Genomic DNA, 13,038 nt, shown 5'->3' on the forward strand with positions numbered 1-13,038 from the left:
GGTGGAGCAGTGGAAGAAAGGAGGGCACAGATAGATGAGGTCAGAGAGGTCCTGGGGGCACAGATCCATAGGGACAAGGTCTTCAAACATTTTTCTCCCACAACCCAAAAGAATATTGAAAACCAACTCTGATCCCAGCTATTCGAGAGGCTGAGGCAGGAGAATCGCTTGAACCCGGGAGGTGGAGGTTGCAGTGAGCCGAGATCGCACCACTGCACTCCAGCCTGGGCCACAGGGCGAGAGTCAGTCTCAAAAACAAACAAACAAACAAACAAACAAACTGAGCACTAACCTCTCGAGAAGAAAAGCCACACACTGTATTTTGCCAGTCATTTCAGGGGTCACTGTCACTGTGACTGAGCTTTTCCAGTCTTATTCCTCACCTCTATGTTAAGGGGGGCTCACTGAGGCTCACAACGGGAGACATTTCACCAAGTTATCCTGAGAAGCTCTGAGGTGAGTAGAAAATAGGTGTGGCTGACTCCCACGAGATGGCCTGGAAGGGCCAATAGGCTGCCTTGGTCTTCCTCCTCTGGAAAATTGCAAGATCAGACGGGAGTCGTGGCCCAGCTGGGTAATCCCAGCACTTTGGGAAGTTGAGGCAGGCAGGTCATTTGAGCCCAGAAGTTTGAGACCAACATGGGCAACAAGGGAGTCTGGTTTAATAACTATATTTCCTACAACTAGCATATAAGGGGGCTTTACACAACTTTGCAAAGGAACTGTTAGACTGGAATTTAGGTCGATAGTATAAAATGGCTTACGATCTCTTGTTTCTATAGCTTGATTTCCAGACCAAATTTTAATGCGGTATGAGGCCACAGTAAGACTCTATAATTTTGGATGTTCAGGACCAGAAACAGAACTTATTATCTTTGTTCTTGGAGTAGAGATTTTTTTTTCTCCCCATTCCCAAGGGTAGAAAGACGGCAATTTTTTGTGCTTATGTTTGGCTAAACTTTTTGTTAAGTCACTGTTAACAGCTGGACTCACTTCTGCACTGGGACATGACTGAGTTTGTCCTGTGCAATTGTGGTAGAATTGACCTCGAGGTGCCCAATCTATAATAGTTCCGAATTTATCATTTTGTAATATCACCGCACTATTGGCCACACATTCTTCCCAAACTAAAACTTTTGTGTCTTTTGATCCTTTGGGATTTTTTGGGGGTAAGGCTTTCCTTTAGGCCTAAATTTTAATGATCTTTGATAAGAAAAGTCTTGTAAATAATTTACCTGTGGCCTGAGTGACATTCCACTTACCGCGTGATTAGTGAATCTACTGGTGGTACCGACAGTAGGTACTTCTACCAACCAATTTTTGACTGCAGGCATTAAACATCCTGGTGCTCTCCCGAGGCAAATAGGAGGATAATGATACCCAGTGGAAATATTTATCATCATTCCTTCTTCCTCAGGTTTGGCAGGGCAACGATCATCTGTGGGGCCAGGTACCCATACACTATTATTAACGTATACTTCAATAGGATTATCCATCCATGAGACTGCCCGAATTAAGGGCGGGAAAGGCACATAGGCCCAGTAGGTATAATTAGCTGCAGCTGCTCCTGCAGGCGTGGGGAGACTTACCACCGTTGATACAATCATCAAAGCTGCAAGCAGCGTGTTCTCTGGAGTTTGTGTCACCTTTGTGTTCTCTAGGCTTTTTTAAGCTAACTGTGTCAGCTTTTAAATTGTGCCCAAGTTGGCAGCTCCGCCTTCGTGGTGGATGGCAACTTCATCTGTTTTTTTGACATCACCATTTTGTTTATCTTGTGAGTCAATGGTGCTCGATTGCGGTGTTTCCGTCTCTGTGGAGGCGCTTTTTTTTTTGTTTGTTTGCATCTCTAATGGGTTCATTGTAGAACTTTAAATGTCTAGTGGGTATCTAAACAGGAAGCTGATTTTCTCCTGGTGAAACACAAGCAAAACCTCTCCCCCACGTTACCACCTTCCCTATTTCTCATGTCTTATTGTTGTTGTCTTTTTATCAAATCAGTTTTCCTTCACGTAGGCTGTTCTTTTTACCAGTAAGATGTTGTTTTGCAGAGGTAGTAGTCTGATTTCTATAAGTGTTTAAAACATTTAAAGTATAGAGTGCTAGATTAAGTTGCATCTGAGGAGTGGTACACTCCTTACTGTCTCCCCCTTCTCTTTAACTGAGTTTTGAGTGTTCTATTAGTTTTTTTAACTATGGCCTGTCCTTGGGAATTATAGGGAATTCCTGTTTTGTGTGTAATTTTCTACTGATTTCAGAATTTTTGGAAAGCTTTACTATAGTATCCAGGTGCATTGTCAGTTTTGATTTTTTTCTGGAACTCCCATGACAGCAAAACAAGATAATAAATGTTTTTTCACATGGGAAGTACTTTCTCCTGTCTGGCAAGTTGCCCACATGAAATGTGAATAAGTACCAACTGTTACACGGACACATCATAATCTTTTAAATGAAGGTACATGTGTGACATCTATTTGCCATAATGCATTAGGACATAGACTTCTGGGATTAACTCCTGCCTCTTGAGTGGGCAGGTGTAGGACTTGACACTGGGTGCAATGTTGTACAATATCTTTTGCCTGTTTTCATGTGACATCAAATTTGTTTTTTAATCCTGCTGCATTTACATGAGTCAAAGCATGAAGTTCTTGTGCTTTTATGAATGCAGATGGTACCAGTAAGTCAGCTTGTTCATTTGCTTTAGCTAAAGGCCCTGGTAAATTAGTGTGTGCTAAAATATGAGTAATATGAAATGGGAAATTTTTTTTTCAGTTTGTTGTAATAAACTGAACAGCTCGTTTAACTGATCATCTATGCTATATTTAATTAGAGCTGTCTCAACATCCCTTGTAGCCTGCGCTACATATGCAGAATCTGATACAATATTAATAGGTTGATCAAAGTCTTATAACACTGTAATGACTGCAACCAACTCTGCTCTTTGAGCCGATTGATATTGAGTTTTGATGACTCGCTGTTTTGGCCCTGTGTAAGCTGCTTTTCTATTGCTGGAAGCATCAGTAAACACTGTCAGAGCATTTTCCAAAGGTTTATGTCTGGTAATTTTAGGTAAAATCCAAGTAGTCAATTTTAAAAACTGGAAGATTTTTGTTTTTGGGTAATGATTATCAATAATTCCCACAAAATTAGTAAGACCAATCTGCCATGCATCAGAATTGATAAAGGCTTGTCTAACCTGTTCCTTGTTTAAAGGAACAACTATTTTGTCTGCGTCATTTTCACACAATTTTATTATTTGTAATCTTGCCTGACCAATTAATGTAGCTATTTGATCCAAGAACAATGTAAAAGTCTTAATTGTACTGTGAGGAAGGAATGACCACTCCACAAGATCAGTATTTTGAACAATGATGTCTGTTGGAGAATGTGCAGTAGCAAAAATCAAAAGTTGGAGTGGGGTTAAGGGACCTTTGTGCTGACTGATTTTTTTCTTTTACTAACTTAATTTTTTTTGTTGCCTCTGGGGTTAATATTCTTTTACTATTTAAGTCTGGGTCCCCTCTTAAGATAGAGAACAAATTTGACATGGCATAAGTAGGAATGCCTAGAGTTGGCTGAATGTAATTAATATCTCCTAGCAAGTTTTGAAAGTCATTTAATGTTTTTAATGTGTCTTTTCTTATTTCTACTTTTTGTGGCTTAATTTTTCTATTTTCTATCTGCATCTCTAAATAATGAAAAGGAGTAGAGGTTTGAATCTTATCAGATGCTATTGCCAGTCTTGCGTTGGCAACCTCTGCTTGCAGAAATGTGTAACAGTCAGTTAATTTGTCTCTTGTTTCTGCAGCACACAAAATATCATCAACATAATGAATGATATAACAGTCTGAAAACTTATCTCTAACTGGTTGAAGAGCTTGACCTACGAAAGTCTGACAAATAGTTGGACTATTAAGCATTCCCTGAGGTAACACTTTCCACTGAGACCTGGTGGCTGGTTCCTTATAATTTATGGCTGGTATAGTAAAGGCAAATTTTTCAAAATCTTTCTCCACCAGAAAAATGGTAAAAAAGCAATCCTTTAGATCAATTATAATTAAAGGCCAGTCTTTTGGGATCATGACCAGAGAGGACAACCCGAGTTGAAGAGGCCCCATGGGTTGAATGATGGCATTTACGGCTCTTAAGTCAGTTAACATACACCATCTGCTGGATTTTTTCTGAATTACAAACACAGGAGAATTCTAAGGAGAGAAAGTGGGTGAAACGTGTCCTTTTTAAGTAGTTTTTTAACTATTTTATGTAGCGCCCCCAAATTTTCCTTAGGGAGCAGCCACTGTTTGACTCAGACAGGATGCTGCAAGGCAAGTCTGAATTGCTCCTTCACCATAATGAACTGTAAGTTGGGCAATAATGGGCACAGCGAGCCAAGTTGCAGTGAGCCTAGTTTCAGGCTCCCTCCCCCAGCACTCACTTGGCTGAGGAGGAGGTGGCCATCGTGGTTTTAGCCCCTATGACCCCGATGATTCTGGACCTTTTTCTTTTAACTTTAATGTTTCAGAATATATTACCTCTTGTAATTGATTGTAGTCAACATTTTGCTTTGACCGACCCATTACAGACTCTGCTACATATTTACAATGTGAACTTTCCGTTCCTTTCTGGGATTCTGTCCCTGTCTCTTCTTCACAATCTATTACATAGCTTTTAGGGCCATCAGAAACTGAAACGCTGTCTTCTCCTGTTTGAAACGGTTTTAAAGCTGCTTTAATAATGGCCCAATCATTCCATACCATAAGTGGGATGATTTTACCCTCCCTACTTCTCTGTTTTAATTCTTTGCCAATTTTTTCCCAATCTTTTAGATCTAAAGTTCCCTGTTCTGGAAACCATGGGCAGAATTGTTCTATTGTTTCAAATAGCTTGATTAGATTTTCTGTAGAGACTCTAACTCCCCCTTTTCTTAAAAGAATTTTAATAAAGCTGAGATAAGAGGCATATTTACTTTTAGCTTGTCCCATTGTTACCCTGGCTTTTTTCGAGCTCAGGAGCTTACCGCAAGGCTGACCGTAGAAGTACTTGGGAATCTCTCGTTGACTTGTCCTCAATAACCACGCTCAAGCGTAGGTTTACCCTAGAGAAAAGCCCCACATTAGACACCAGGTGAAGGTGGCCAGCCCCTCTACACCTGTGAGTCTTTTTTGTCAGGTGGGACGAGAGACTGAGAAAAGAAATAAGACACAGAGACAAAGTATAGAGAAAGAACAAAGTATAGAGAAAGGACCGGCGCTCAGCATATGGAGGTCCTGCACAGGCACTGGTCTCTGAGATTCCTCACTATTTATTGATCATTATCTCTACCGTCTCAGAGAGGGGGATGTGGCAGGACAATAGGGTAATAGTGGGGAGAGGGTCAGCAGGAAAACATGTGAACAAAGATCTCTGTGTTATGAATAAGTTTAAGGAAAGGTGCTGTGTTTTGATGTGTACGTACACAAACATTTCAGTGCATTAAATGGTAGTATTGCTGCCAGCATGTTTTACCTCTAGCCCTAAGGTGGTTTTCTCTTATCTCAGTAAACAGAACATACGATCAGGTTTTACACCAAGACATTTTATTTTTAGGGAGGAGCAGGAGACAGATGCCTTCCTCTTATCTTAACTGCAGAGGCCTTCCTCTTTTATTAATCCTCTTCAGCACAGACCCTTTATGGGAGTCAGGCTGGGGGACAGTCAGGTCTTTCACTTCCCATGAGACAATATCTCAGGCTATCACATGGGGAGAAACCTTGGACAATACCTGGTTTTCTGAGGCAGAGGTCCCTGCGGCCTTCCGCAGTGTATTGTGTCCTTGGGTATTTGAGATTAGAGAATGGGGATGACTTTTACCAAGCATACTGCCTTTAAGCACTTTTTAAACAAAGCACATCCTGCACAGCCCTAAATCCATTAAACCTTGAGTTGACACAGCACATGTCTCTGCAAGCACAGGGTTGGAGCTAGGGTTACAGATTCACAGCATCTCAAGACAGAAGAATTTCTATTAGTACAGAACAAAATGGAGTCTCTTATGTCTACTTCTTTCTACATAGACACAGTAACAGTCTGATTTCTCTTTCTTTTCCCCTCACTTATCTTTTCTACCATCTGACCATTTTGTTCAGATCTGCTGAACATAGTGTGAACGTGACACATAGACTGAGAAGTGCAATTCAAGCTAAATATCCCTTAGGGGACCAGTCAATAATGATTCCATGGGAATCATTGTGCAGCACCTCTGCCTGTTCTGCAATGCAATCTTGCTAAACAAATACGTTCATTTTTTCTAACTGAGTCCAATCCTGTTTACAAATAGGTTTTTGGGGGTTGTATGCCTCAATTACAGGAGCAGATTTATTATGGTAAATACTGAGATCAGAAAGCATGTGTAACTGTGTCATACAGTGATTTACATCCAGGCATTATTACCAGCTAAGATTGATAAATATGCCTAATAAGTACAATTGTTCTCTGTGTCAGCCTTTGTTGAAGGAATACTCACAGAAATGGTGATCACTGCCATCATAGCTACCATTAAATTATTCACTGTGAGTGGTTGTCCTGCTTTCCTCAGGTTGTCTTCCTGGATCTGTGACAGCTTCTTGATCTGTCTCCAGGTCGGTGGCTGTATTCGATGGGTGTTGCTCGTGACAGTTGGGGTCCTCCTCGGCACCAGCCTTGACATGGCTGCAACCGGGGGGGTCCTCAGGATCCTCCCGGAATCTCTTCCTTGGCATCTGGCCCATGACAAGATTTCAGGTGTCTTGATGGTATCCAAACTGACTGATGATTTTGGCCTGGAGAAACACAAGCATAACCTCTACCCCAAGTTATTATTTTACCTATTTCCCAAATTTTTGTTATTGGATCTCTCTGCCAAATCATTCTTCTGCTTCTGTCTTTGCAGCTGGTTTCTGTAGATGCTGTTCAGCTGCTGATAACATCTGGCCTTTGGGCAGGCTCAAAAAATTTAAAGTTAATAATGCCAGATTCAGTTGCTCCTGTGGTGTTCCATATTCTCTGTCTCCCCCTTTCTGCTTTTGCAACTGCTGTTTTAGGGAGAGATTCATTCTTTCCACTATGGCTTGTCCTTGAGAATTGTACGGGATACCAGTAATGTGTTTAATATTCCTCATAGAGAAAAATGTAGCTAGAACTTGGCTAGTATAGCCTGGGGCATTATCTGTTTTTATAGAAGCGGGAATGCCCATCACCACAAAACACTGCAAAAGATGACATTTAACACAGGCAGAAGACTCTCCTGTTTGGCATGTAAGCCCAGACAAAGTGAGAAAAGGTGCCCACACATACATGTACATAAGCTAGTCTCCCAAACGAGGGAACATGTGTGACATCCATTTGCCAAACCGAGTTAGGTTCCAATCCTTGAAGATTAACTCCTCCTGTAAAAGATGAGGAATGTATCATTTGGCAAGTTGGGCATCAGTGGATAATATTTTTAGCTTCTTTCCAGGTAATGCTGTATCTGCATTTGAGACCAGAGGCATTAACGTGGGTTAAATGGTCAAAATGTCTAGCATTAGATATTGCATTAGCAACTAAGTGATCAGCCATTTGATTCCCTTCAGTCAAAGGTCCTAGAAGAGGTGTATGAGCCCAAATGTGAGTGATGCAAAAATGGTGCATTCTACTTCTAACTGCTGTTTGCAATTGGGTAAATAAAGTCATCAGTTGTTCATCTGTATGAAATTGTAATTGAGCATTTTCAATTAACTGTGTGGAATGAACCACGTATGAAGAATCAGAAATCACATTAATAGGTATATCAAAAGCAGTCAATAACTCAATTACAGCTACTCAGCTTTTTGAGCTGAAGTATAGGGCGTCTGAAAACTTTACTTTTTGAGCCAAACTAAGAAGCTTTACCATTACTAGACACATCTGTGAAACAATGAAAACGCTTAGCAGGCTGCAGGTTGTTTACTGCAGGAATTGTAAATGCAAACCATTCACAGTCTTGTTCAGCTAAGGGGATAGTAAAGAAACAGTCTTTTAAATCTATGACTACTAAAGGCCAATTTTTGGAATTTTAGTAAGAGAAAGCAATCCTTGCTGTAATGCTCCCATAGGTTATATAGTTGAATTGATAGCTCTTAAGTCAGTTAACATCCTCCATTTACCTGATTTTTTCTTAATTATGAAAACTGGAGAATTCCAAGGGGAAACTGTTGGAGCAATATGCCCATTTTCTATCTGTTCAGTAACTAATTTCTCTAAAGCCTCCAGTTTCTCTTTACTTAGTGGCCATTGTTCTATCCAAATTGGCTTATCTGTGAACCATTTTAAAGGTATAGGTTCTGGAGGCTTAACAATGGCCACCATCAAAAATTATTTCCTAATCTTTGGCGGGAACTTTTTAAACCTTGCAAATTTTTTTGTAGTCCCATACCAGGGACATACCCCATTTCATGCATCATATGTTGACTTTGAGGGCTATATAATTGTTCTGGAATTAGAACTTGGGCTCTGCATTGTTGTAATAAATCTCTTCCCCATAAATTTATAGATACAGAAGTTATAATTGGTTGAATAGTCTCGGGTTGTCCATCGGGCCCTTCACAAGGCAAAACAGAACTACTCTGATATACTTCAGGGGCTTCACCAACTCCAACTATGTTAAATTGAGTGGGTTGAATTGGCCACGTGGACGGCCAGTGCTGTAGAGAAATGATTGAAATGTCCGCTCTTGTATCTACCAAACCTTTAAATTTCTTTCCCTGAATAGTTATTTCACAGGTAGGACATTTATCAGTAATTTGGTTGACCCAATAAGCTGCTTTGCCTTGTTTATTTGTGCTTCCAAATCCTCCTGTTCGTTTAATTTCACTTTTTCCCATTTCCACATATGGCACAATCAGGAGCTGTGCTATGGGCTCTCCTGGCTCTGCTTTCCAGGAAACATAAGTAGGTATAACAATTTGAATTTCCCTATTGTAATCTGAATCAATGACTCCTGTATGTATTTGTACCCCTTTTAAACCTAAACTAGACTTTCCTAAAAGTAATCCGATTGTACCCGCTGGCAAGGGTCCACAGACTCCTGTTGGGACCTTTTGCGGGGGTTCCCCAGGTAGAAGTCTCACAGCTTTTATGCAGCATAAATCTACTGTGGCACTACCGGCTATGGCGGGGGACAGACATTGTACAGGGGTGAGGGAATGGTCTGAGCTGGAAATGCCCCCGTTTAGAATGGGGCCCGGGACAGGCCCCTCATGGCATTTCCCGAAATCGTATTCCCATCTTTATGAAACTTAGAGGGACACTGATTAGCCCAATGTTTTCCTTTTTTACATTTTGGACATATTTCAGGATCTGCAGTTTTCTTTTTTCCCCTATCTGGTGGCCTGATTCGCTGATTTTTTCTACATTTGTTTTTAGTATGACCATGCTTCCCACAGTTAAAACAAGCGCCAGGAAATGGAGTATTTCCTTTGTCCACTCTCAGTCCTGCCATTGCCTGTGCCAACAAGGCAGCTTTATGCAGATTACCTCCGATACCATCACAAGCCTTGATATAATTAACTAAATGTGCTTTCCTTCTAATAGGTCACAGAGCAGCGTGGCAATTGGGATTACAGAGCGAGACTCCATCTCAAAAAAAGAAAAAAAAAAAGCATTGTCAAAACTTAATAACTGCAACACTATATCCTGAGCAGCTGAATCTGCAATCATCTTTTTAAGAGACTTCTGTAACCAAGCTATAAAATCAACGTATGGTTCTCTTGGTCCCTGTTTCATAGCACTAAAGGAAGGGTATTGTTCTCCACATGAAGTGATTTTTTCCCAAGCTCTAATGCACACTCCTCTAAGCTGTTCTATGGCATCATCCTGCATGACCAGTTGGGCACCTAAGCCAGCCCAGCCACCAACCCCCAAAAGTTGGTCTGCAGTTACATTAATTTGAGGTTGGGCCTGGGCATTGCGAGCAGCCTGAATGGAAGCTTCATCTGCCCACCAAGTTTTAAATTGTAAGAACTGAGCAGGAGTTAGATAAGCTCAAGTAAGACAGTCCCAGTCAGTAGGTATCATCTGACTGGAAATAGCAACATTCTTTAACAGTCCCATTACAAAAGGAGAACCTGGTCCATACTGATTTATAACTTGTTTAAATTCTTTGAGTAACTTAAAAAGAAAAGGCTCAAATATAGTTGTAATATTTCCCTGTTGATCTGGGGGGTGTATTCTAACAGGGAACTGCCAAGTCTCTAAATCACCCTCTCTTCTAGCTTGCTGAATTCCTGCCTGAATAGAACTAAGAGCGATTGCTTGAGGCACTGATCAAACAGTCACTGGGGCAACTCCTTTTCACCCAGTGTTCTCCAGAAAAGAAAGATCTGGAAGGTCATTTTCTTCAAAATAATAATGAGGGGGTGCAGAAAGGTAGGGATGAACCTCTTCCTCTTTTGCCGCTTTAGCTTTAGCTGGCAAATAAACCTGCTCTGTAACCTCTTCTGTCACTTCCTCCTCATCATAACTGTGAATAAGTTCCAAGGTGGAACGAACCAGACCCCACACCTGTCCCATTGTTACCCTGAGGCTTCTGAGCTCCTCTTGTTACTCACCACAGGGATTGCTTTAAGAGTACTTGGGTGTCCTCCAGCTAGTTTTCCATTCCAACTGTCGCTCCGGTGACCCTTCAACCTGGATTCGAGCCCCCATGAAGGTACGCCACTTGCCGAGACCAGCTCAGTCAGGGAGACCCTAACCCAGTGGTGCTACAGGAATGAAAGACACACACACAGAAAGATAGAGGTGTGAAGTAGGAAATCAGGGGTCTCACAGCCTTCAGAGCTGAGAGCCCCAAACAGAGATTTACCCACGCATTTATTAACAGCAAACCAGTCATTAGCATTCTTTCTATAGATATTAAATTAACTAAAAGTATTCCTTATGGGAAACGAAGGGATGGGCCAAATTAAACGAATAGGTTGGGCTTCTTAACTGCAGCAGGAGCATGTCCTTAAGGCACAGATCTCTCATGCTATTGTTTGTGGCTTAAGAATGGCTTTAAGTGGTTTTCCACCCTGGGCTGGCCAGGTGTTCCTTGCCCTCATTCCCGTAAACCCACAACCTTCCAGCATGGGCGTTAGGGCCATTATGAACCTGTTACACTGCTACAGAGATTTTGTTTTTGGGGGGCTTGCTCCCAACAAGTTTGGCCTTCCCACCTCTATACAGTCCGATAACGGACCAGCCTTTATTAGGCAAATCACCCAAGCAGTTTCTCAGGCTCTTGGTATTCAGAGGAACCTTCATACTCTTTACCGTCCTCAATCTTCAGAAAAGGCAGAATGGACTAATGGTCTTTTAAAAACACACCTTACCAAGCTCAGCCACCAACTTAAAAAGGACTGGACAATACTTTTACCACTTTCGCTTCTCAGAATTAGGGCCTGTCCTTGAAATGCTACGGGGTACAGCCCATTTGAGCTCCTGTGTGAATGCTCCTTTTTATTAGGCCCCAGTATCATTCCAGACACCAGAGCAACTTGGACTGTGCCCCAAAAAACTTGTCATCCCTATCTTCTATCTAGTCATACTCCTATTCACCCTTGTCAACTACTCATAAATGCCCTGCTCTTCTTTACACTGCCAGTTTACACTGTTTCTCCAAGCCATCACAGCTGGTATCTCCTGGTGCTATCCCCAAACCACCACTCTTAACTCTTAAAGTAAATAAATAATCTTTGCTGGCAAGGCTATGCTGAACCTCCTTAGGCACTCTCTAATTGGATGTCCTGGGTCCTCCCAATTCTTAGTCTTTTAATACCTGTTTTTCTCCTTCTCTTATTCTGTTTAGTTTTTCAATTCATACAAAACCATATCCAGGCCATCACCAATAATTCTATATGACAAATGTTTCTTCTACCAACCCCACAATATCACCCCTTACCACAAAATCTTCCTTCAGCTTAATCTCTCCCACTCTAGGTTCCCACGCCGCCCCTAATCCTGCTCAAAGCAGCCCTGAGAAACATCGCCCATTCTCTTTCCATACCACCCCCAAAAATTTTCGCCGCCCCAAGACTTCAACACTATTTTGTTTTATTTTTTATTTATTATAAGAAGACAGGAATGTCAGGCCTCTGAGCCCAAGTTAAGCCATCATATAGCCTGTGACCTGCAGGTACACATCCAGATGGCCTGAGGTAACTGAAGAATCACAAAAGGAGTGAAAATGGCCTGTTCCTGCCTTAACTGATGACATTACTTTGTGAAATTCCTTCTCCTGGCTCAGCCTGGCTCAAAAGCTCCCCCACTGAGCACTTTGTGACCCCCGGCCCTGCCCTCAAGAGAACAACCCCCTTTGACTGTAATTTTCCTTTATGTACCCAAATCCTATAAAACAGCCCCACCCCTATCACTCTCGCTGATTCTCTTTTTGGACTCAGCCTGCCTGCACCCAGGTGAAATAAACAGACTTGTTGATCACACAAAGCCTGTTTGGTGGTCTCTTCTCACAGACGGGAGTGAAATTTACTGCAGAATATTTCCCAAAGTCTCATAATGATGCAGAAATACATGTGTACAAGACTTGTTCTGACACCTGGCACAGAACTGACAGTAGTGGCTCCCCAGGGAGGCTGGAAGGAGGGTGGAGGACGTGACAGGGAAGTGACAGGGAAAGGAGATGCTTTATGGACAAGGGCCTAAGCTGCAGCTTTGCTTGGAGCGTTACCACAAAACAAATACATACATCATGTGATGTTTAAATATCACAATATATATTTAATAATAATTGGTGGGGCTGAGCACGGTGGCTCGTGCCTGTAATCTCAGCACTCTATGAGGCTGAAGCAGGCAGATCACCTGAGGACAGGAGTTCAAGACCAGCCTGGAATCCCAGCACTTAGAAAGGCAAAGGCGGGCGGATCACGAGGTTAGGAAATCCAGACAGTCCTGGCTAACAAGGTGAAATTCTGTCTCTACTGAAAATACCAAAAAATTATCCGGGCGTTGTGGCACTCAACTGTAGTCTCACCTACTCGGGAGCCTGAGGTAGGAGAATCGCTTGAACCT

The 13,038-nt window shown here is 41.9% G+C and overlaps 1 long non-coding RNA gene across 1 annotated transcript, besides 1 other annotated feature; it reads left to right on the forward strand.

The window, feature by feature from the left end:
* Positions 1-369: 369 nt before the first annotated feature.
* Positions 370-9,728, forward strand: LOC105372452 (uncharacterized). Its single transcript, XR_936060.3, has 2 exons — positions 370-456; positions 9,565-9,728. It is a non-coding gene; the product is annotated as an uncharacterized LOC105372452 (long non-coding RNA).
* Positions 11,741-12,456: an enhancer, noted in NCBI's record as "NANOG-H3K27ac hESC enhancer chr19:53259364-53260079 (GRCh37/hg19 assembly coordinates)". NCBI's record gives its function as "activates a minimal SCP1, AML or CMV promoter by ChIP-STARR-seq in naive H9 embryonic stem cells {active_cell/tissue: H9 hESC(naive)}" and the evidence as "EXISTENCE:reporter gene assay evidence [ECO:0000049][PMID:30033119]".

This window comes from Homo sapiens, chromosome 19 (genome assembly GCF_000001405.40).
Source record: "Homo sapiens chromosome 19, GRCh38.p14 Primary Assembly".
Lineage (NCBI taxonomy): Eukaryota > Metazoa > Chordata > Mammalia > Primates > Hominidae > Homo > Homo sapiens.